This window comes from Homo sapiens, chromosome 9 (assembly GCF_000001405.40).
Source record: "Homo sapiens chromosome 9, GRCh38.p14 Primary Assembly".
NCBI classification, from domain to species: domain Eukaryota; kingdom Metazoa; phylum Chordata; class Mammalia; order Primates; family Hominidae; genus Homo; species Homo sapiens.
In genome coordinates this window covers 103,138,201-103,160,198 of record NC_000009.12, presented here as the reverse complement: position 1 = coordinate 103,160,198, position 21,998 = coordinate 103,138,201, and the positions used below count along the sequence as shown (strand labels likewise).

The following is a 21,998-nucleotide window of genomic DNA, read 5'->3' as shown; positions in this document are numbered from 1 at the left end:
GATTATATGAAGAGACCAACCCTGTAACCCATTGACATTCCCGAGAGAAAATAAGAGAGAGTAAGCAACTTGGAAAACATACTAGAGTATATAGTCATGAAGATTTCCTCAATATAACTAGAGAGATTGGCATGCAAATTTAAGCAATTCAGAGGACTTCTATGAGTTACTATGCACAATGACCATCCCCATGATACACAGTCATCAGATGCTTCAAGTTCAACATGAAGAAAAATCCTTAAAGGCAGCTAGAGAAAGAGTCACATCACTTACAAAGGGACTCCAATCAGGTTAAAAATTACTTTTTAGCAGAAACCTTATAAACCAGAAAAGATTGGAAATCTATTTTCAGCGTCCTTAAAAAAAGAAATTCCAATCAAGAATTTCATATCCTGCCAAACTAAGCTTCATAAGCAAAGAAAAAATAAAATCATTTTCAGACAGGCAAACACTAAGGGAATTTGTTACCACTAGATAAGCCTTATAAGAGGTCCTTAAGGGAGTTCTAAAGATGAAAATGAATGAATGACACTACCACAAAAACAGTTAAGAACATAGCCCACAGACCCATAGACCTTATGAAGCAACTACACATTAAGTCTACAAAACAATCAGCTAACAACACAAGAACAGCATCAAAACCTCACATATAAATATTAACCTTGATTGTAAATGTTCTAAGTGTCCCACTTAAAAGGCACAGAGTGGCAAGTTGAATGAAAAAACAAGACCCAAACACCTGCTATTTTCAAGAGATCCAACTCACTTGTAATACACACATAGGCTCAAAGTGAAGGGATGAAAAAAGATCTATCATGCAAACAGAAAACAAAAAAGAGCAGAGATTGCTATTCTTATAGTATATAAAACAGACTTTAAACCAACAACAGTCAAAAAGGAGAAAGAAGGGTATTAAATAATGGAAAGGGTTCAATTCAACAAGAAGACTTAGCTATCCTAAATATGTATGCACCCAACAGTGAAGCAACCAGATTCATAAATCAAATCTTTCCAGACCTATGAAAAAACTTAAACAGCTGCACAATAATAGTGGGGGACTTTAACACCCCAGCGAAATAATTAGAAAGATTAACAAGGCAGAAATTCAACAAAGAAACTCTGGAGTCAAACACAACATGAATAATTGTATCTAATAGACATCTACAGAACATTCCACTAAACAATCGGAGAATATACATCTTCTCATCTGCACACAGAACATAATCTAAGACTGAACAAATCCTCAGAATTCAAATACCAATTCTTTGAAGCAAATCTCTATAAATTGAAAAAATAGTGAAATCATACCAACCTCACTCTCAGATCACAGTGGAATAGAAATAGAATAAATACCAAGAAGTTATCCCAAAACCACACAATTACATATAAATTAAATAAATAACATACTCCTGAATGACTTTTGGGTAAACAACAATATTAAAGTAAATATTTAAAAATATTTGGAATTAATGAAAATAGAGACACAACGTATCAAAATCTTTGGGATGTGGTGAAAGCAGTGTTAAGTGGAAAGTTTGTAGTACTAAACACCTACATCAAGTAGTTGAATAGATCTCAAATTAACAATGTAACATCACATTTAGAGGAATTAGAAATCAAGAACTAACTCTAAAGCTAGCAGAAGAAAAAAATAACTAAAATTAGAGCAGAACTGAATACAATTTAGATGAAAATATATCTATAGAAAGGATTAGGGAAACAAGCAAGAAAAAAGTTTCTTTAAAAGGATTAAAAAGGCTGATAGACCACTAGCTAGATTAACAAGGAAAAAATAAAGAAGATCCAAATAAGCACAATAAGAAATGACAAAGATGAATTACAACCTATTCCACAGAAAAACAAAAGATTCTCAGAGGCTATTGTGAAACCTCTATGTGCACAAACAGGAAAATATAAAGGATATGGATAAATTCCTAGAAACATACAACCTCCCAAAGTTGAACCAGGAAGAAATGGAAACTCTTAACAGATCAAGAACAAGTTTCAAAATCAAATCAGTAATTAAAAGTAAAAAAAAAAAAAGCCCTGGACCAGATAGATTCACGGCTGAATTCTTCCAGGCATGAAAAGAAGAGATGATACTAATCTGATTTAAACTATTCAAAAAAATTGAGAAGGGGCTCCTTCCTCACTCATTCTGTGAAGCCAACATCATTCTGATACCAAACCTTGGCAGAGACACAAAGAAAAAAGAAAACTACAGGCCAATATCCCTGATAAACATAGATGCAAATATCCTCAACACAACACTGGCAAACCAAACCCAGCAGCATATCAGAAATTTCATTCAACATGATCAAGTAGACTTTATTCCTGGGATGCATTGGTTCAACCTACAGAAATCAATAAATGTGATTCATCATATGAACAGAATTGAAAACAAAAACCATATAATCATCTCAATAGATGCAGAAAAAGCTCTTGATGAAATCCAACCTCCTTCATGATAAAAGCTCTTAACAAACTAGTTACTAAAGGACCATATCTCAAAATAATAAGAGTTATCTATGACAAATCCACAGCCAACATCATACTTGAATGAACAAAAGCTGGAAGCATTTCTTTTGAGGGCTACAACAAGACGTAAACAGCTACTCTCAGCACTGCTATTTAAAGTAGTACTGAAGTCCTAGCTACAGCAATCAGGCAAGAGAAAATATAAAAGGCATTCAAACAGGAAAACTATCTATATTCATGGACTCTATGATTTGATATCTAGAAAACTCTAAAGACTCTGCCAAAAGTCTCCTAGAACTCATAAATGACTTCAGTAAAGTCCCAGGATACAGAATCAAAGTACAAAAATCAGTAATATTTCCATACACCAAGAACGTTCAAACTAAGAGCCAGATGAAGAATGCAGTCTCACTTACAATAGCCACAAAAAGAATAAAATACCTAGGAATACATCTAACAAAAGAGACAAAAGATCTCTACAAAGAGAATTACAGAACATTGATGAAAGAAATCAGAGATGACACAAACAAATGGAAAAATATTCTATGCTCATGAATGGGAAGAATCAATTTTGTTAAAATGGCCATATTGCCCAAAGCAATTTACAAATTCAATGCTGTTCCTATTAAATTACCAATAACATTACTTACAGAATTCAAAAAATTCTAAAATTTATATCAAAGTAAAAAAGAACCCAAAAAGCCAAAGCACTCCTAAACAAAATAGAACAAAGCCAGAGGCACCATATTACCCAACGTCAAACTATGCTACAAGGCTACAGCTACCAAAACAATATGGGACCAGTACAAAATAGACACAGACAAATGGAACAATATAGAAAACCCAAAAATAAATATGCTCTCCTACAACCATCTGATCTTTGATAAAGTTGACAAAAATAAAAAATGGAAAATGTACTCCCTATTAAATTAATGGTACTGACATAATTAGGTTCCCACATGCAAAACAATGTAACTAAAACTCTGCCTATCACCATATACAAAAATTAACTCAAGGTGAGTTAAAGACTTAATGGAAGATCTTAAACTCTAAAAATCCTAGAAGAAAACCTAGGAAATATTATCTGTACATGAATATTTTTCTGTGGATTATAGTTTTTGTCAGATTCTCAACTTGAAAACCTGTAAATGTTTGAATGTGTTTGCTCTTGCTTCTCTAGTTGTTTTAATTGTGATGTTAGGGTGTCAATTTTAGATCTTTCCTGCTTTCTCTTGTGGGCATTTAGTGCTATAAATTTCCCTCTACACACTGCTTTGAATGTGTCCCAGAAATTCTGGTATGTTGTGTCTTTGTTCTCGTTGGTTTCAAAAAACATCTTTATTTCTGCCTTCATTTTGTTATGTGCCCAGTAGTCATTCAGGAGCAGGTTGTTCAGTTTCCATGTAGTTGAGTGGTTTTGAGTGAGTTTCTTAATCCTGAATTCTAGTTTGATTGCACTGTGGTCTGAGAGACACTTTGTTATAATTTCTGTTCTTTTACATTTGCTGTGGAGAGCTTTACTTCCAACTATATGGTCAATTTTGGAATAAGTGTGATGTGGTGCTGAGAAGAATGTATATTCTGTTGATTTGGGGTGGAGAGTTCTGTAGATGTCTATTAGGTCCACTTGGTGCAGAGCTGAGTTCAATTCCTGGATATCCTTGTTAACTTTCTGTCTCATTGATCTGTCTAATGTTGACAGTGGGGTGTTAAAGTCTCCCATTATTATTGTGTGGGAGTCTAAGTCTCTTTGTAGGTCTCTAAGGACTTGCTTTATGAATCTGGGTGCTCCTGGTCCACTGACAGTGTTGAGTTTCAGAGACCCCTGCACATTCTGGAGATAGCAGCGAATTGTTGTGCAGCCTACGAATATTGGGTGTATATATATTTAGGATAGTTAGCTCTTGTTGAATTGATCCCTTTACCATTATGTAATGGCCTTCTTTGTCTCTTTTGATCTTTGTTGGTTTAAAGTCTGTTTATCAGAAACTAGGATTGCAACCCCTGCCTTTTTTTGTTTTCCATTTGCTTGTTAGATCTTCCTCCATCCGTTTATTTTGAGCCTATGTGTGTCTCTGCATGTGAGATGGGTTTCCTGAATACAGCACACTGCTGGGTCTTGACTCTTTATCCAATTTGCCAGTCTGTGTCTTTTAATTGGAGCATTTAGTCCATTTATAATTAAGTTTAATATTGTTATGTGTGAATTTGATCCTGTCATTATGATGTTAGCTGGTTATTTTGCTCATTAGTTGATGCAGTTTCTTCCTAGCCTCAATGTTCTTTACAATTTGGCATGTTTTTGCAGTGGCTGGTACCGGTTGTTCCTTTCCATGTTTAGTTCTTCCTTCAGGAGCTCTTTTAGGGCAGGCCTGGTGGTGACAAAATCTCTCAACGTTTGCTTGTCTGTGAAGTGTTTTATTTCTCCTTCACTTATGAAGCTTAGTTTGGCTGGATATGAAATTCTGGGTTGAAAATTCTTTTCTTTAAGAATGTTGAATATTGGCCCCCACTCTCTTCTGGCTTGTAGAGTTTCTGCCAAGAGATCAGCTGTTAGTCTGATGGGCTTCCCTTTGTGGGTAACCCAACCTTTCTCTCTGGCTGCCATTAACATTTTTTCCTTCATTTCAACTTTGGTGAATCTGACAATTATGTGTTTTGGAGTTGCTCTTCTCGAGGCATATCTTTGTGGCGTTCTCTGTATTTCCTGAATTTGAATGTTGGCCTGCCTTGCTAGATTGGGGAAGTTCTCCTGGATAATATCCTGCAGAGTGTTTTCCAACTTGGTTCCATTCTCCCTGTCACTTTCAGATATACCAATCAGACGTAGATTTGGTCTTTTCACATAGTCTCATATTTTTTGGAGTCTTTGTTCATTTCTTTTTATTCTTTTTTCTCTAATTGAACGATGAGAACATATAGACACAGGAAGGGGAACATCACACACCTGGGCCTGTTGTGGGATTGGGGGAGGGGGAAGGGATAGCATTTGGGGATATACCTAATGTTAAATGACGAGTTACTGGGTGCAGCACACCAACATGGCACATGTATACATATGTAACTAACCTGCACGTTGTGCACATGTACCCTAAAACTTAAAGTATAATAAAAACAAAGAAAAAAAAAGAAAACCTGTAAATGTTTAAAAACTACTATTTCAGTGAAAAAATATATAAATTTGGAGCCCCGATACTTCTACCTACCTTGCATTAAGCAAAGAAGATAAAACCCTTGTGAGAATCTGTCAGTTCTGTAATTTCAATTATGCTTTTTTTCTGCAGTTATATTATTCCCTTTACCAAGGCATCAAAGTTACCTAGAATAATGATTTTATTTCCTAGCTTTCTTAATTGTGGTTATTTAAAAAAAGGGGAAGTGTTGTATTTAGCATAAAGGAAGTTTCATTAAAGCAAATCATATTGCTCTCTTACTTTCCTTTTCATTTTTCTCTTACTTACTGACTGGGATATGAATATTAGCTGGAGATTGAACAGGTCCCCTAAATCACAGATTGGAAGGTTCTTAATGAGAATCATAGAACAACGAACTATAAGAAATTGAATATCTGCAGCAAGACAGCAGAATAAGAGGTAACTCACTTATATCTCCCCATAACAACAAGAATTTTGCACCCATCCACAAACAAAAGTCTCTCTGTGGGAGCCTTGGAATTCAGGCTGGAGGTTGTGAAACCCTAGTGGAACCCAAGACCAAGGAGACTTGTTTTGAGAGTGCAAATACCCAGGTGGGAGATCTGCTGATTGTGCCATTGGATTCAAGCCTGGAAATGGCCCCATTCCCCAGAAGACATGGCTATAGCAGCAGTTGTCCTTGACTCTGCAACCAAAACTGTCTACCAAAGGGACCAGGAGGAGTTGCACTCATTAATGCCTCAGTGCAGAGGCTCCTTAGCCTGGTAGCATTGGTTTTAGCAACATACCTGAAAGTTGCCCTGTGTTACCTCCAGCTCCCTTCTGCTGAGGTTCCAGCTCAATATACCTGGAAAAAGGACTCAGAGGCAGACTTACCATATTTCCCAACCTGTGACTCTGAACCTCCTTGAAAGCCCTCCAGCTTCCAGCTGACATCAAATCCCAAGGAGTGCCAGCCTCAACCCTGGTCTCTCCTGCTGCAGTCACGGACCTATCCTGTCTGTGCAGAAACCTGAGAAACATATGTCCATTTCAGCCAATGAGACTAGCTCCCACAGCAGATACCAAAGGGGCCCAGACTCAGCTGTAGCCTTTTCTGTTTTAGTTAAAAGTTGGGGAAGTATTTCTTCTATGAAGAAAACTGATAGGAGACATGTGCCCCTCTGAGACAGTGAGACAGGCTATCCAGCTTCTGTCTTACAGTAGATTCCAAGGGGGCCTCATCTTAGCTCAGACCTCTCCCACAGCAGTTGGTGAACTATCCTGTCTATGCAGGAACCTGCTGGTAGATGCATATACCTCTGAGCCAAGAAGACAAGCTCTTCTGTGTCCATCCTACAGCAGATTCTGAGGGGCCTGGTTTTAGCTCCAGTCTCTTCCACTGCATTTGGGAAACTATCCCATCTGTGCTGGGACCTGCTAAGAGATACCCTGCTTTTTCAATGAGACACGTTCACCAGCCTTCATCCCACAAAAGATCCTTAGGGGGCTTGTCTCAGTTTCAGCCCTTCCTGCTGCCATTGAGTAACTATCCCAACTGTACAGGAACCTGCTGGGAGATGCACAGTCATCTTAGCCAATGAAATGAATTTTCCAGCTTTCATCCCACAGCAGATACAGAGTTGGGTGTCAGGGAAAGTGGGGGTGCTGTCTCAACCCCAGCTCATCTTGCTGCAGTCTAGAACCTATTCCACTTGTGCGGAAACCTGCACAGAAGCACATTTGTATGACACCAGGACAGTCTTCTGGGCTCAAATGTCTAGCCATCTTTCTCAAACAGCCCCAGAACTCTCTCTGGGTCTTCCCGAGGTATATCCCATCCTGAAAGTTTTATCAGCTGTTGAGACTTATGTGATTTGTGGCAAGCTTTATTTTAGAGCTCCCTCTTGTGCTTAGATGACTGCAGTGGTTGTAGGCTTAGGGAACACAACAGTTAATCTGCTTAGAATCTCTGAAAGGCTCTCTGAAGAGCAGGCACAAATAAAGCTAGTCTTTGAAAATGGGAATATATACCTTATCCCTCAAGGCATAGGAATTGTCACTTGTCCAAAAGTATTAAGAAAATTCAGAGAAATACTACCTCACCAAGCACAAAATGAGACACTAGACACCAACCCTAACATGATGGAGGTATTTTATCTCTCAGACAAATAGTTTAAAATAGCTATTTTCAAGAAGCTCAATGAATTTTAAAAAATGCAAAGAATCAATTGAAAAGTTTACAAGAGAAGTTTAACAGAGAGAAAACAGAAATCTTGGAGGTGAAAACTGTAATGAATAAAAGGAAAGATGCGATAGAAACGTTCAGCTACATAATTAACCAAACAGAAGAAAAAAATCAGTGAGCTCAAAGATGGGCTATTTGAAATTATACAATCAAAAAAGAATAAAGTAAAAACAATGAAAAGTAATTAAGAAAGCATATGAGATTTATGTGACAACATCAAAAAAGAAATTATTTAATTTATAGGAGTTAAAGTGGAAATTAAGAAAGATGAAGAGATTGAAAGATTATTTGAAGAAATAAAAACAGAATCATTTTCCAAACCTACTGGAAGATATAAATATTCACTATAGGAAGGTGAACAGTCCACAGTCAGATTCAACTCAAATAAGAATATCCCAAGAATATTATGAATAAACTCTCAAAGGTCAAAGACAAAGAGAAGATGCTGAAAGCAGCAAGAGAAAAGAAACAACATATAAGGGAGATTCAATATGTCTGGCAGCAAAGTTATCAGCAGAAACCTTACCAGCCAGGAGTGAGTAGGATGATATATTCAGAGTGCTGAAAAAAAAAAAAGAAACAAAACAAAAGCCTGCCAACCAAGAATACTCTACAGAACAAAGCTATCTTTCAGAAATGAAAGAGAAATGAAGACTTTCCCAAACAAAAGCTGAGGGAATTCATTGCTAGAAGAACATCCTACAAGGAAATGCTAATGAGAGTTCTTCCAGTTGAAAGAAAAAGACACTAACATGTTGTTATTTTAGTATAGTGGTCATGGTATTAAACTACAAATATTTTTAGTATAAACACTAAAAGACAAATTATTAATAACAACAACTATAATACTTGTTCAGAGATAATGTATTAGTCTGTTTTCCTGCTGCTGATAAAGACATACCTGAGACTGGGAAGAAAGAGAGGTTTAATTGGACTTACAGTTCCACATGGCTGGGGAGGCCTCAGAATTATGGTGAGAGGCAAAATGCACTTCTTACATGGTGTGGCAAAAGAAAATGAAGAAGTAAAAATGGAAACCCCTGATAAACCCATCAGATCTCATGAGACTTATTCATTATCACAAGAATAGCACAGGAAAAGCTGACCTCCATGATTCAATTACCTCCCCCTGCATCCCTCTCACAACACAGGAGCATTCTGGGAGATAAAATTCAAGTTGACATGTGCCTGGGGATAGAGCCAAACCATATCATTCCACACCTGGCCCCTCCACATCTCATGTTCTCAAATTTCAAAACCAATCACACCACCCCAACAGTTCCCCACAGTCTTAACTCATTTCAGCATTAACCCAAAAGTCCGCAGTCCAAAGTTTCATCTGAGACAAGGCAAGTCCTTTCTGCCTATAAGCCTGTAAAATCAAAAGCAAGCTAGTTACTTCCTAGATATAACGGGGTTATAGACATTGGGTAAATACAACCATTCCAAATGGGAGAAATTGGGCAAAACTAAGGGGTTACAGAGCTCATGCAAGTCTGAAATCCAGTGGTGCAGTCAAATTTTAAAGCTCCAAAATGTCCAAAATGGTCTCCTTTAACTCCGTGTCTCACATCCAGGTCATGCTGATGCAAGAAGTGGGTTCCCATGGTCTTGAGCAGCTCTATCCCTGTGGCTTTGCAGGGTACAGCCTCCCTTTCAGCTGCTTTCAAGGGCTGGCATTGAGTATCTGCAGCTTTTTCAGGTGCATAGTGCAAGCTGTCAGTGGATCTACCATTTTGGGTTCTGGAGGATGGTGGCCCCTTATCACAGCATAGCTCCACTAGGCAGTTCCCCAGTAGGGACTCTGGGTGGGGGCTCCAACATCATATTTTCCTTCCACACTGCCCTAGCAGAAGTTCTCCATGAGGGCCCTGCCCCTTCAGCAAACTGCCTGGGCATCTAGGCATTTCCATACATCTTCTGAAATCTAGGTGGAGGTTGCCCAACCTAAATTCTTGACTTCTGCGCACCTGCAGGCTCAACACCATGTGGAAACTGCCAAGGCTTGGGACTTCCACCCTCTGAAGCCAAATCTCAAGCTCTACGTTGGCCTCTTTCAGCCATGGCTGGAGCAGCTGGGACACGGGGTACCAAGTCCCTAGGCTGCACACAGCACAGAGTCCCTGGGCCTGGCCCAGGAAACCACTTTTTCCTCCTGGGCTTCCAGGCCTGTGATGGGAGAGGCTGCCATGAAGGTCTCTGACATGGCCTGGAGAAACTTTCCCCATGGTCTTGGGGATTAAATATTGGGCCCCTTGCTACTTAGCAAATTTCTCCAGCTGGCTTGAATTTCTCCTCAAAAAAAAATTTTTTTTTCTACTGCATCATCAGGCTGCAAATTTTCTGAACTTTTGTGCTCTGTTTCCCTTTTAAAATGTAATGATTTTAACAGCACTCAAGTCACCTTTTGAATGCTTTGCTGCGTAGACATTTCTTTGCCAGATACCCTAAATTACCTCTGTCAACTTCAAAGTTCCTCAAATATCTAGGGCAGGAGCAAAATGCTACCAGTCTTTTTGCTAAACCATAACAAGAGTCACCTTTGCTCCAGTTTCCAACAAATTTCTCATCTCCATCTGAGACCACTTCAGCCTGGACCTCATTGTTCATGTCACTATCAGCATTTTTGTCAAAGCCATTCAACAACTCTCTATGAAGTTTCATAATTTCCCACATTTTTCTCTCTTCTTCTGAGCCCTCCAAACTGTTCCAATCTCTGCCTGTTACCCAGTTCCAAAGTCGCTTCCACATTTTTGAGTATCTTTCAGCAACACCCACTCTCAGTATCAATTTACTGTATTAGTCTGTTTTCACACCGCTGATAAAGACATACCTGAGACTGGGAAGAAAAACAGTTTTAATAGGAATTTCATTTCCACATGGCTGGGAAGACCTCAGAATCCTGGCAGGTGTTGAAAGGCACTTCTTACATGGCAGCGGCAAAAGAAAATGAGGAAGAAACAAAAGCGGAAACTCCAGATAAACCCGTCAGATTTCATGAGTCTTATTCACTATCACAAGAATAGCATGGGAAAAACTGGCCCCATGATTCAATTACCTCCCCCTGGGTCCCTCTCACAGCACATGGGAATTCTGAGAGAGAAAAGTCCAGTTGAGATTTGGGTGGGGACACAGCCAAACCATATCAGATAGACAATGTAAAAAATGTAAAGTGTGATATTAAAGGCCTCATATTAACTACAAAGCAAAAACCTATAAATGATACACTAAAAAGAAAAAGAAAAAAAAACATACTACTAGAGAAAATCACATAACTACAAAGGAAGACTGAAAGAGAAAATGAAAGGAGAAAAGCATTTCTAAAACTAGACAACAAATAAGAAAATGGCAGTAGTTAAGCCCTTGCCTGTAAATAATTACCTTGAATATAAATTGATTAAGTCATACAATTAAAAGACATAGCGTGGCTTAAAGAATTAAAAAAACACAACAGCACGACTCCACTAAATCCTAGCTACAATAGATTCATTTTAATGTAAGGATACACATAGACTGATAGAGAAGAGATGGGAAAAGATATTCCATGCAAATGGAAACCAAAAAAGAGCAGGAGTAGCTATACTTATATCAGATAGAATAAATGTTGAGCCAAAAACTGTAAAAAGAACAAATTAGGCCATTATATAGTGATTAAAAAGGTAAATACAGCCCGATGATATAACAATTGTAAATATCTATGCACTCAACATAGGAACAACTAAACTTATAAAGCAAATATATATATATAATATAAAGAAAGATTGAATGCAATATAATAATAGTAGATTTTGACAATTCACTGTCAGCAATGAACAGATCATTGAGACAGAAAATCAACAGAGAAACATCAGTTAAACCACATCGTAGACTAAATGCAACTAACAGACATTTTCAGAACATTTCATGAAACAGCTGTAGAATACACATTGTTCTCAACAATATGTGGGACATTCTGCATGACAGATCATATATTAAGCCACAAAATAAGTCTTAACAAATTTAAAAAGTCAAAATCATATTAAGTATCTTTTCTGACCATAATGGAATAAAAACTAAAAATCAATAACAGAAGGAATATTGGAAACTGCACAAATACATAGAAATTAAACAAGTTTTTGAACAACAAATAGGTCAATAAATACATTTTTACAAAATTATGAGAAAATAGAAATAAAACTACAAAATATACAAAGGTATGGGACACAGCAAAAGTAGGTTTACAAGAACAATTTATAGTAATAAACACCTACATGAAAAAAGCAGAAATATCTCAAATAGACAACCTAGCACAAGCAACTAGAAAAATGAGAATGATTTCAACCCAAAGTTAGTAGAAAAGAAATAATAAAGATTGCAGCAGAAATAAATCAAATAGAAACTAAAAAAAAATCAATGAAACAAATATTTTTTCAAAAGATGAACAAAATTGACAAACCTTTAGCTAGAGTAACTAAGCCAAAGAGAGATGACAAATAGATTAAATCAGAGATTAAAAAGAAGACATTATAACTGGTGCTACAGGCATAGAAACCATCATTAAAGATTATTATGAACAACTACATACACTCAAATTGGAAAACCTAGAAGAAATTGATAAATTTCTGGACACAAACAACTTAGCAAGATTGAAATATAAAGAAATAAAAACCTGTGCAGACTATTAATGAATAATGAAATTAAATTAGTAATAAAACTCTCTCTTCAAAGAAAAGCCTAGAACCAGATGGATTCACCATGGAAATCTATCAAATATTTAAATAATTAATACAAGGTCTTCTCAAACTATTCTAAAATATTCAAATGGAGAGAATTCGCCTAACTCATTCTGTAAGGCCAGTATTACCCTGCTACCAAAACCTTACAAAAACTCAACCATAATCTTAAACCATAAGACACAACACCCGTGATAAAAATAGAAGTAAAAATCCTCAACAAAATACTACCAAGCTGAATTCAATAGTGAATCAGATGATAATTTCCTCATTCACGATGATCAAGTGGGATTCATCACAGTGATGCAAGGATGGTTCAATATATGCAAATCAATAAACATGATGCATCACATTAACAAAATGCAGGACAAAAATCTTATGATCATCTCAATAGACACAGAAAAAACAATTCAATAAAATTTATCATCACTTTGTGATCAAAACCCTAGACAAATTAGGTATAAAAGGAACTTACAGGCCAGGCACGGTGGCTCATTCCTATAATCCCAGCACTTCGAGAGCTGAGGTGGGTGGATAATGAGGTCAGAAGTTCGAAACCAGCTTGAACAACATAGTGAAACCTCATCTCTACTAAAAATACAAAAATTAGCTGGGCATGGTGGTATGTGCCTGTAATCCCAACTACTCAAGAGGACGAGGCAGGAGAATCACTTGAACCTTGGAGGCAAAGTTTGCAGTGAGCTGAGATTGTGCCCATGCACTCCAGCCTGGTGACAGAGCAAGACTCCATCTCAAAAAAAAAAAGGAACTTACTCAATACAATAAAAGACACATATGACAAACCTATAGCTAACATTATACTGAGCAATAAAAGATTCTGTTTTGAAATCATTGAAGTGTTGTTTTTCTTGTAAAATGATTATATCACCAATGGATCATCAATTATCCATATGCTTAGGAATGGTTTTTGAGTGGTGGGTATAGGATTTGGCTGATCCAGCAGGATTTAGTTATCTAGTCTTAAAGTAGTATGACATACACCTACCTAAGGGGCAGAAATGTATTACAACTTTATTTTGCAACCTTAGAACAGATTATAACAGATGGGTCAACACCAGATGAAACCTATCATCTATGCAGTACTGCTGGTGCCTGGTGCCTGGTGCCCATTTTACCAGCCTCAGCCTCTCATGTTCCAGCTGCATCCCTTCTTCAACCCCACCTTCAGCCTCAGCAAAAATAGGCCTTTTACCACAGACTTCATTAACAGAATTAACTTAATTGGTCAAACTGGTATAGCTTTTTCAAAGGCTCAAGCATAAAAACACAATCCTATCAAGCAGAATATTCCGAGGTTTCAGAGGGTATCTTCTAGGAGCCAGACAAAGGCTAGTCCTGGTTTTGAATGTTCAAGGTTTAAGCAACCTCAGCCTGCCAAGTTAACCCTTTCCTGTTCATCTTTGAATATACTAATATACCTGAATTTTCATAATTGGTTCTTTCTTTCCTATGACCCAGAAAAATAGTGCACCTTTTGTTATAATCTAATTCTCCAACTGTATCTTCGCTTGCTTTCATCTCATCACAGACTTTATTTATTCGTGATATCTATTTCTTTGCTATTCCTCCAAATCTAAATTTTGAAAAAAAATACCAATCATAACAAAATGGTGTATATTTTATTTAGCTTGCTTTATATCCATCTTCTTTTATGGTCAATTGCTTGAAATGTAATTTTACATTGAGTTTTTATTTTGTAAAATTTCTCATTCATTTCCTGCTCACTATTGCTCAACTATATTCTGTATTCTGTAGAAATCACCAGTGACTCTCGTTGTTTCTTAATCCAAGAAAAAAACAATTTCAGGATTTTTTTTAGGTGGGTAGATTTGAAAGTGTTATCTACTTTCTGTTTCAAAGTATTTCCTTGGACTGTGTGATACTAATTACAATAATGATATTTATTCATGCATTTAGAAAAGCTAATTTAACTTTTGTGTATTAACACTATGTGTCAAGTGCTATTCTAGGAACTAAGTACACAATGCCCAACAGACAAGATCTCTATGCTCACGTAGCTCATAACAACCACCATCACCACATTTGTATAGCACAAATTATTTTATTCCCTTTAATTCCTACCATGCCCCATTCTCCATTTGTAAAGGAAAGAAATACTTTAGTTAAAAGAAGTTAATTAACTTCACTAAGGCCTTAACAATTAAGTCTTAGGACTTGAATCATGAGCTATAAAATACCAAAGCCCATGCTCTTAATTGTCTGTAACCAAAGACCTTAGCATAATCACTGAAAGAATTTCTTAATCATAGCCACTATTATATCTCAGAGCCTATAGGAGAGATGAATGTAATATACACATTATTTAAATTATCTTTAAAAAATCCATTTAAAAATCTGTAAAATTAAGTTTACAAATTTATCAAAAACCACTTTAAAAATACAAAACCAAGTAGAACCCAGGGCAGAGTGCAGTGGCACGATCTCGGATCACTGCAAGCTCTGCCTCCCGGGTTCACGCCATTCTCCTGCCTCAGCCTCCCGAGTAGCTGGGACTACAGGTGCCCACCTCCACGCCCGTCTAATTTTTTGTATTTTTAGTAGAGACGGGGTTTCACCGTGTTAGCCAGGATGGTCTTGATCTCCTGACCTCATGATCTGCCTGCCTCGGCCTCCCAAAGTACTGGGATTACAGGCATGAGCCACCATGCCCCGCCAAATTTTGTGACCAATAATATTTCCCCAGGATATTTTTAAACGCTCCTCAGATTCCAGTTTGCTATACTACAAATAAAAACCAATTGCAATGATTATTTTCCCCTTTTTAAAGTGGGATTTAAACTATTTATAGGTACATAATAGATAACCTTTCATGTTGCAGAAATCCACAGCTAATTCATAAAAGTAGCCACTTTTTCTTTTCTTTTCTTTTTTTTTTTTTTTTTTTTTTTGAGACGGAGTCTTGCACTCTCGCCCAGGCTGGAGTGCAGTGGCATGATCTCGGCTCACTGCAAGCTTCGCCTCCTGGGTTCACGACATTCTCCTGCCTCAACCTCCTGAGTAGCTGGGACTGCAGGCGCCCGCCACCACGCCTGGCTAATTTTTTGTATTTTTAGTAGAGACGGTGTTTCACCATGTTAGCAGGATGGTCTTGATCTCCTGACCTCGTCATCCGCCCACCTAGGCCTCCCAAAGTGCTGGGATTACAGGCGTGAGCCACCGCGCCCGGACAAGGTAGCCACTTTTTCTAAGATGGATGTGCTATTTCTCTTTGTTTTCAGTGAAGCAATACAGGCATTCATGTCTGGACAAAAGGAATAAGTGGACTACATGCAGAGTGAGTATCCCTTATCCAAAATGCTTGAGATTCAAAGTGTGTTTCAGATTTCAGATTTTTTCAAATTTTGGAATAGTTGCATTATCCCAGTTGAGCATCCCAAATCTGAAAATGTGAAATCTGAAATTTCCTTTGAGCGTCATGTTAGGATTCAAAAAGTTTCAGATTTGGGAGCGTTTTGTATTTCAGATTTTCAAATTTGGGATGCTAAACTTGTATTAATAAATGAAATTTCAGTTGTGCAATATCGGACCCCTTCCGTTATAGGTGCACACCCACTGTAACTTTATAAATAACTTTAAGTATATTTTAAAAAGCCAAAGATTTAAAACAACTTGGGATCAGGGTTAACCGGCTTGAATTACATTTCTCCTTTAAGTTTCATTTTAGAGAATGTTGGCAATATTTTGTAGCTACTGGGTAACATCCTACATTCATTGTGTTCATTTAAAATATGTATAATTTAATATTATGACAGTTAATTTACAAGTTGTGAAAAACTTTCAGTTTACTTTCCACCTGTTCTCAAAAGAGTGATTTAAGAAGTTTTTAAAGGACTGCCACAGGGGAAATTGCAAACATACATAAGGCAATATAGCATAACAGTCTTTGGAATCAGTCATTGTTTCAAATCCTACCTCTGCAATATACTAGCTGTGTTATGAACAAGTTATTGTATTTAATGTCTGTATGTATCATTTCTTTCCATATAAAATATGGGTAATAAAAGCTAGTTCATTATGATAGTCAATACTCGAAGCAATGTGCATAAAGTAGAAATATCTTGTAACAAATTCTTAAAAAAGTATTATTATTAGCACTATTTTTATTATTTTAGTACCATTATTATTAATGTTACAGTTTGCACTTATGCTTTAATGAATGACCTTGGTATTTTACTCTGGCTGATTTAATTCATTTAATACAAAAGCATAATTAGATAATATTCATCAATCAGTTGTAAAATTCACACTAAAATATATGAAGGAAAGCTATCCACTGATTAATTTATATGAATGTTTTTAAAATACAGTTTCATTATTCCAGGGCAGAGTGAGGCTGGAAAATACATCCTGCCATGGGTATACAACCCAAGCTATCTATGTAGATTTTTTTTGTTTTTTTGAGACGGAGTCTCGCTCTGTTGCCAGGCTGGAGTGCAGTGGCGGGGTCTCGGCTCACTGCAACCTCCACCTCCTGGGTTCAAGCGATTCTCCTGCCTCAGCCTCCCAAGTAGCTGGGATTACAGGCATGTGCCACCATGCCTGGCTAATTTTTGTATTTTCAGTAGAGAGGGGGTTTCACCATGGTAGCCAGGCTGGTCTTGCACTCCTGACCTCGTGATCCACCCGCCTCGGCCTCCCAAAGTGCTGGGATTGCAGGCATGAGCCACCACACCTGGCCTATGTAGATTTTTTTGTTGCCTTTTGATTTTTTTTTTTTTTGCTTATTCTGATTCTAATTGTACAAATCAATAATAAAAATGTTAAAAACAGACTTAAAATATTCATGACTATGCAAATGATTCAAATATAGTTATTTAAAGTTTCTTTCTTTTTTAAATTGGGACATGGTCTTGCTCTTCAACCCAAGGCTGGGTGGCATAGGTGAAAGAGCAAGACCAAGGCATGACCAAGGCTCACTGCAGCCTTGACCTCCTGATCTCGTTATCCTCCCACTTCAGCCTCCCAAGTAGCTGGGTATAGGCATGCACCACAGTCCCCAGCTAATATTTTAATTTTTTGTGTGTGGAGACATGGTCTTGCCCTGTTGCCCAGGCTGGTCTTGAATTCCTGAGTTCAAGTGATCCTTGCTTCTCAGGCTCCCTAAGTGCTAAGATTACGGGTGTGGGTCCCCAGCCAAAACAATCTTCCTAGGGAAGCCCTCACATTTTCAAGGGTTTTACCTTTAGTACCTCCATAAATTCGTATCAAGCAACAAAATGTACTGTCAAGGAACAAAAAATATAAAGGGACCTTAAATGCATATTTCTAAGACCAAGAAGTCAGTCTGAAATGGCTACATACTATATAATCCTATATGACTCCTATATGAAAGATATGACATTCTGGAAAAGGCAGAACAATAGAGTAAAAAGATCAATGGTTGCTTGGGTTTGGTATGCATGTGTGTTAGAGGGCAGGGTGGCTGGTGAGAGGAATACATAGGTGAAGCACAAGTGATTTTTATGGCACTGCAACTGTTCTGCATGATACCATAATAATAATAAATGACATTTTTCATTTGTCAAAACACATAGAATGTACAAGAGAAAGAGTAGAACTTAATGTAAATTATGAACTGTAGTTACTATTGATATGTAAATATTGGTGTTCTAATTGTATCAAATGCACCACACCAGTGAAAGACATTAGTAATAGGAGAAATGTGTACGAGTTTGGGAGGTTATATGGCAATTTCTGTACTATCTGCTCTTGTTTTTATTGTAATTTTAAAATTGTGCTAAAATAAAGTTTATTAGTTTAATTTTCAAGAGATTAAGAATGTATGTTTAAATGTAATAATATATATGCAGAGCTTTATGTCTATCCATATACTTCAAGCCAAATCTACTTTTGGTGAGTTCGTCTGTTTATAAAACACACAGAAATAGGAAGAAAAATAATTGACAAATATTTACTATGAAATAACTTTATAAGCAGTAAATTGAAAGCACATACATATATTTTAAAAAGGCATTTATATACTTAAGCAAATTATTTTCCAAATATAGAATATTAGCCAGCCAACAAATAATGTTTAAGAAAGTTTGTAATTTTCTGAGACAATACGGATGATAAAATATTAAGTAAAGAACAACTTTGTTGTAATGTGATATATAACATGACATAAATAAAAAGAAAAAATCTAGATTAATGTGTAGTCAATAAGAATTGCCATGAAACATTGTCAAACTGATATTTGAAATTTATTGTTTTAAAGCCCCTTATAACTAATATTCTGTTTTTCCATATAATCCTATTAATGTATAAATAAAATCTTCTATTTACCAATTGGATATTAAATCAAAATAATGTAAATTAACATCTACAAATCATAACTTTTCTTAATGTTTATTCTTTGAGAATACATAGTAGTTGCACATATTTAAGGCATACATGTGATATTTTGATATGTGTGTATCACGTGTAATGATCAAATCAGAGTAATTGGGATATCCATCACCTGAAACATTTATCATAGCTTTAAAGGGCCAAAGCCAGGATTTAACTCTCTTAGATTCCAAAGTCCACGTTCTTAGAAATATTAATTAAAATAATGACAATGTTTGCCTCTGGGTTATGCTATTATGAGAAATTTAATATTTTTAAAGCAGAAATTGAAATTTTTGTAATAGGAAGATATTTAATAAATATGGAAATGTATAACTGATTTTTTCTCCTATGTCATTATTGTTGAAAGAAAATCTTCATATCTTACGTAAATATATTCTAGATCATCTGACAGATTTTATAATTTCTCATTATAAATTAAGATTTTTTTTTATTATCTTCGGTGGTGAAAAATACGCTCGCCAAACTGACAGGAAAATGTAATGTAATGCTAATTGCTTAATTGATTATTACTAGGAGTCCACAATTTTCAGTGCTTTTCTTTCTATTTCTGTGTATTTTATAAAGAGACAAATTCACCAAAAATCAGTTTGGCTTGAAGTATATGGACACACATAAAGCTCTGCACATGTATTATTACATTTAAACATACATTCTTAATCTGTTGGAAATTAAACTAATAAACTTTATTTGAGCACAATTTTAAATATGAAACTTTGACTTCTTTTTTATTTCATTACCTTTTGTTCATCAGCCTTCATTTTAATCAGATATACACCTATCTATATCAAACATTGTGTTGTAAATTTCATGTCTACTTCAACGTTTCCATATACGGGTGCATAATAACAAGTGCTGATAAGAATGCAAAGAAATTGATGGTGGAAATTTGAAATGGTACAGCTACTGTGGAAAATGGTTTGGCAGCTCTTTAAAGTTAAAGGTATCATATAATCCAGTGATTCACATGTAAGTATATATTCAGATAATTGAAAACATATGTCCTCAGAAAGCATGTTCATTGCAGCATTATTTATAATAGCGTAAATGTGAAAATAACCAAAATATTTATTATCTGATGAGTAGACAAGTAGAATATTGTATATTCATAATATTTTTAGACATAAAAAGCAGTAAAATGCTGAATATGCTAAACATGAAAAAAAGACACAAAGGCCACATATAGTTTGATTCAATTTATAGGAGATCTTCAGAGTAGGTAAATTCACACAGGCAGAAAGTAGATTAGTGGTCGCCAGGGGATGAGGAAAGGGGGAAATTAAAAATTGTGCTTATCAGTACAGAATTTCTTATGAAATTATGAAAACATTCTTGAATTTTTGTATTCTGGTGATGATTTGTACAATCTTGTGAATATACAGTATACTAATATATACTGTATATGTTAAAACAGCGAATGTGACAACGTTATTTATATACCAATGAAATGTTTTAAAATTCCACATCAAACTAGTTTTGAGGTGTAGACTATCGTGAACTTTACAAGAATATTGAATTAAAACTTCCTGTTATCTTCTTTGCTAACACAAATCTGATTGTTTATTGCAAGAAACAGATGCCATTATAAATATTATAAACAAAAATAAATTTAAAAACATACAAAGAATTATTTAAAAATCAATGGAATAATTATGAAACCAAATTAAACTCTAGGTTTTTCATATGACTCCCAGAACAAACAGAGTCTAAAACTTAGGGACACTGCTAATTCCGTAGCCACTGCTGGATCTCTTCTGACATATAAATATGTTATTACCATTTCTGGCCACCAAGAAACACAAGAGCACATTACCACAACCTTTGTAACCAATGATAATAGCCAAAATACAGGGAGATTGCCTTTACCTGATTTTTTTTCTAAATCTCAAAAGAGTTGATCCATGTAAAAAAATATCTAGAGTATTATTTGCAAGGGAATCTGGGAAATTTAGTTTCTAATTTTCTGAATTCCTAACTAGATGGGAATTTAGACAGACAATTGAAATATTTAGCTATTAAAAGTATTTTAAATCTTTAAAATTAAAAAGTGAAAATAATTATTGAGATAGGAAAACTTCCCATCATAATATTATATAATAACTAAAGTTGAAATGTATCTTTTTATAAAGTCATGCTTGATAGGACAAGATGAAAAGTCGAACCTAATATAAATTACCAAGTTTCAGAAAATTCTTCTTCCCAATTGATTCTAAAATTTCAACTGTGAAAGTTCTTTGATCCTTTCAGTCACTTTATTCTGTGAATCTGTAATAATATAATTTTTATTAAGATTATTGTAAAAGCCTCCAGATTTATCTACCTGCTTCTGTTTTGTCTCTGCAATCAGTCCTGCAGATTTAATCATTTCCTTCAACTCTCCAAAAATACACAGTGGAAAAAGCCCAAAATACTATTATACACAGCACAAATTTTGCTTTATTTGATATAAAACCAATTCTGGTGCATCAAATCCTATTGGCTCTTCTTTATTTCTCTGCAAAACTTATGTAGACAGTGCCTAGAATTCTTCCCCAATCACAGGATGAATTTTTCCACTTCTGAAAGTTTCTTCTGCCTGAAATTTACACCTTCACTTCAGAAATGTTAATCTACATATTTTTTCTGATCAACGTAAATATGTGCTTAATTATGAATCCTTCTGTAAGGCTTCTGGAGAGTACATGCTCTCATTTTCTAATTATATGGGACTATTTTAATACAACATTTCTGAAAAGTATTTAAAGCAATGAAAATATTGTACTTATATTTTTATTTCCACCTACCAATATTTTACCTGACACACAAGAGATAATCCATAAATTGTTTTAATATAAGTATGTAAACATAAGAACCAATACATTTATATGTAATTGGTCATCATTTCATGGGTCTATAAATCAACTTATTTCTTAACATTAGAATATAACTCAGTGTCATGGTTTCCATTTGTAAATTTAGGTAAAGTTCAAGTTTCAAATTTTTTGTTTACATTAAGAGCACAGATTATCAGTCCTGCTTTATTTGAATTGGATTCCA

At 35.7% G+C, this 21,998-nt stretch overlaps 1 long non-coding RNA gene across 1 annotated transcript in view; it reads left to right on the top strand.

The window, feature by feature from the left end:
* LINC01492 (long intergenic non-protein coding RNA 1492) overlaps nucleotides 1–19,671 on the top strand; it is a 184,506-nt gene extending 164,835 nt beyond the window's left edge. The window contains exons 9-10 of the long non-coding RNA NR_121578.1: nucleotides 15,833–15,888; nucleotides 16,936–19,671. This is a non-coding gene — a long non-coding RNA (long intergenic non-protein coding RNA 1492). The remainder of the gene's footprint in view (nucleotides 1–15,832; nucleotides 15,889–16,935) is intronic.
* The last annotated feature ends 2,327 nt before the right edge of the window (nucleotides 19,672–21,998 follow it).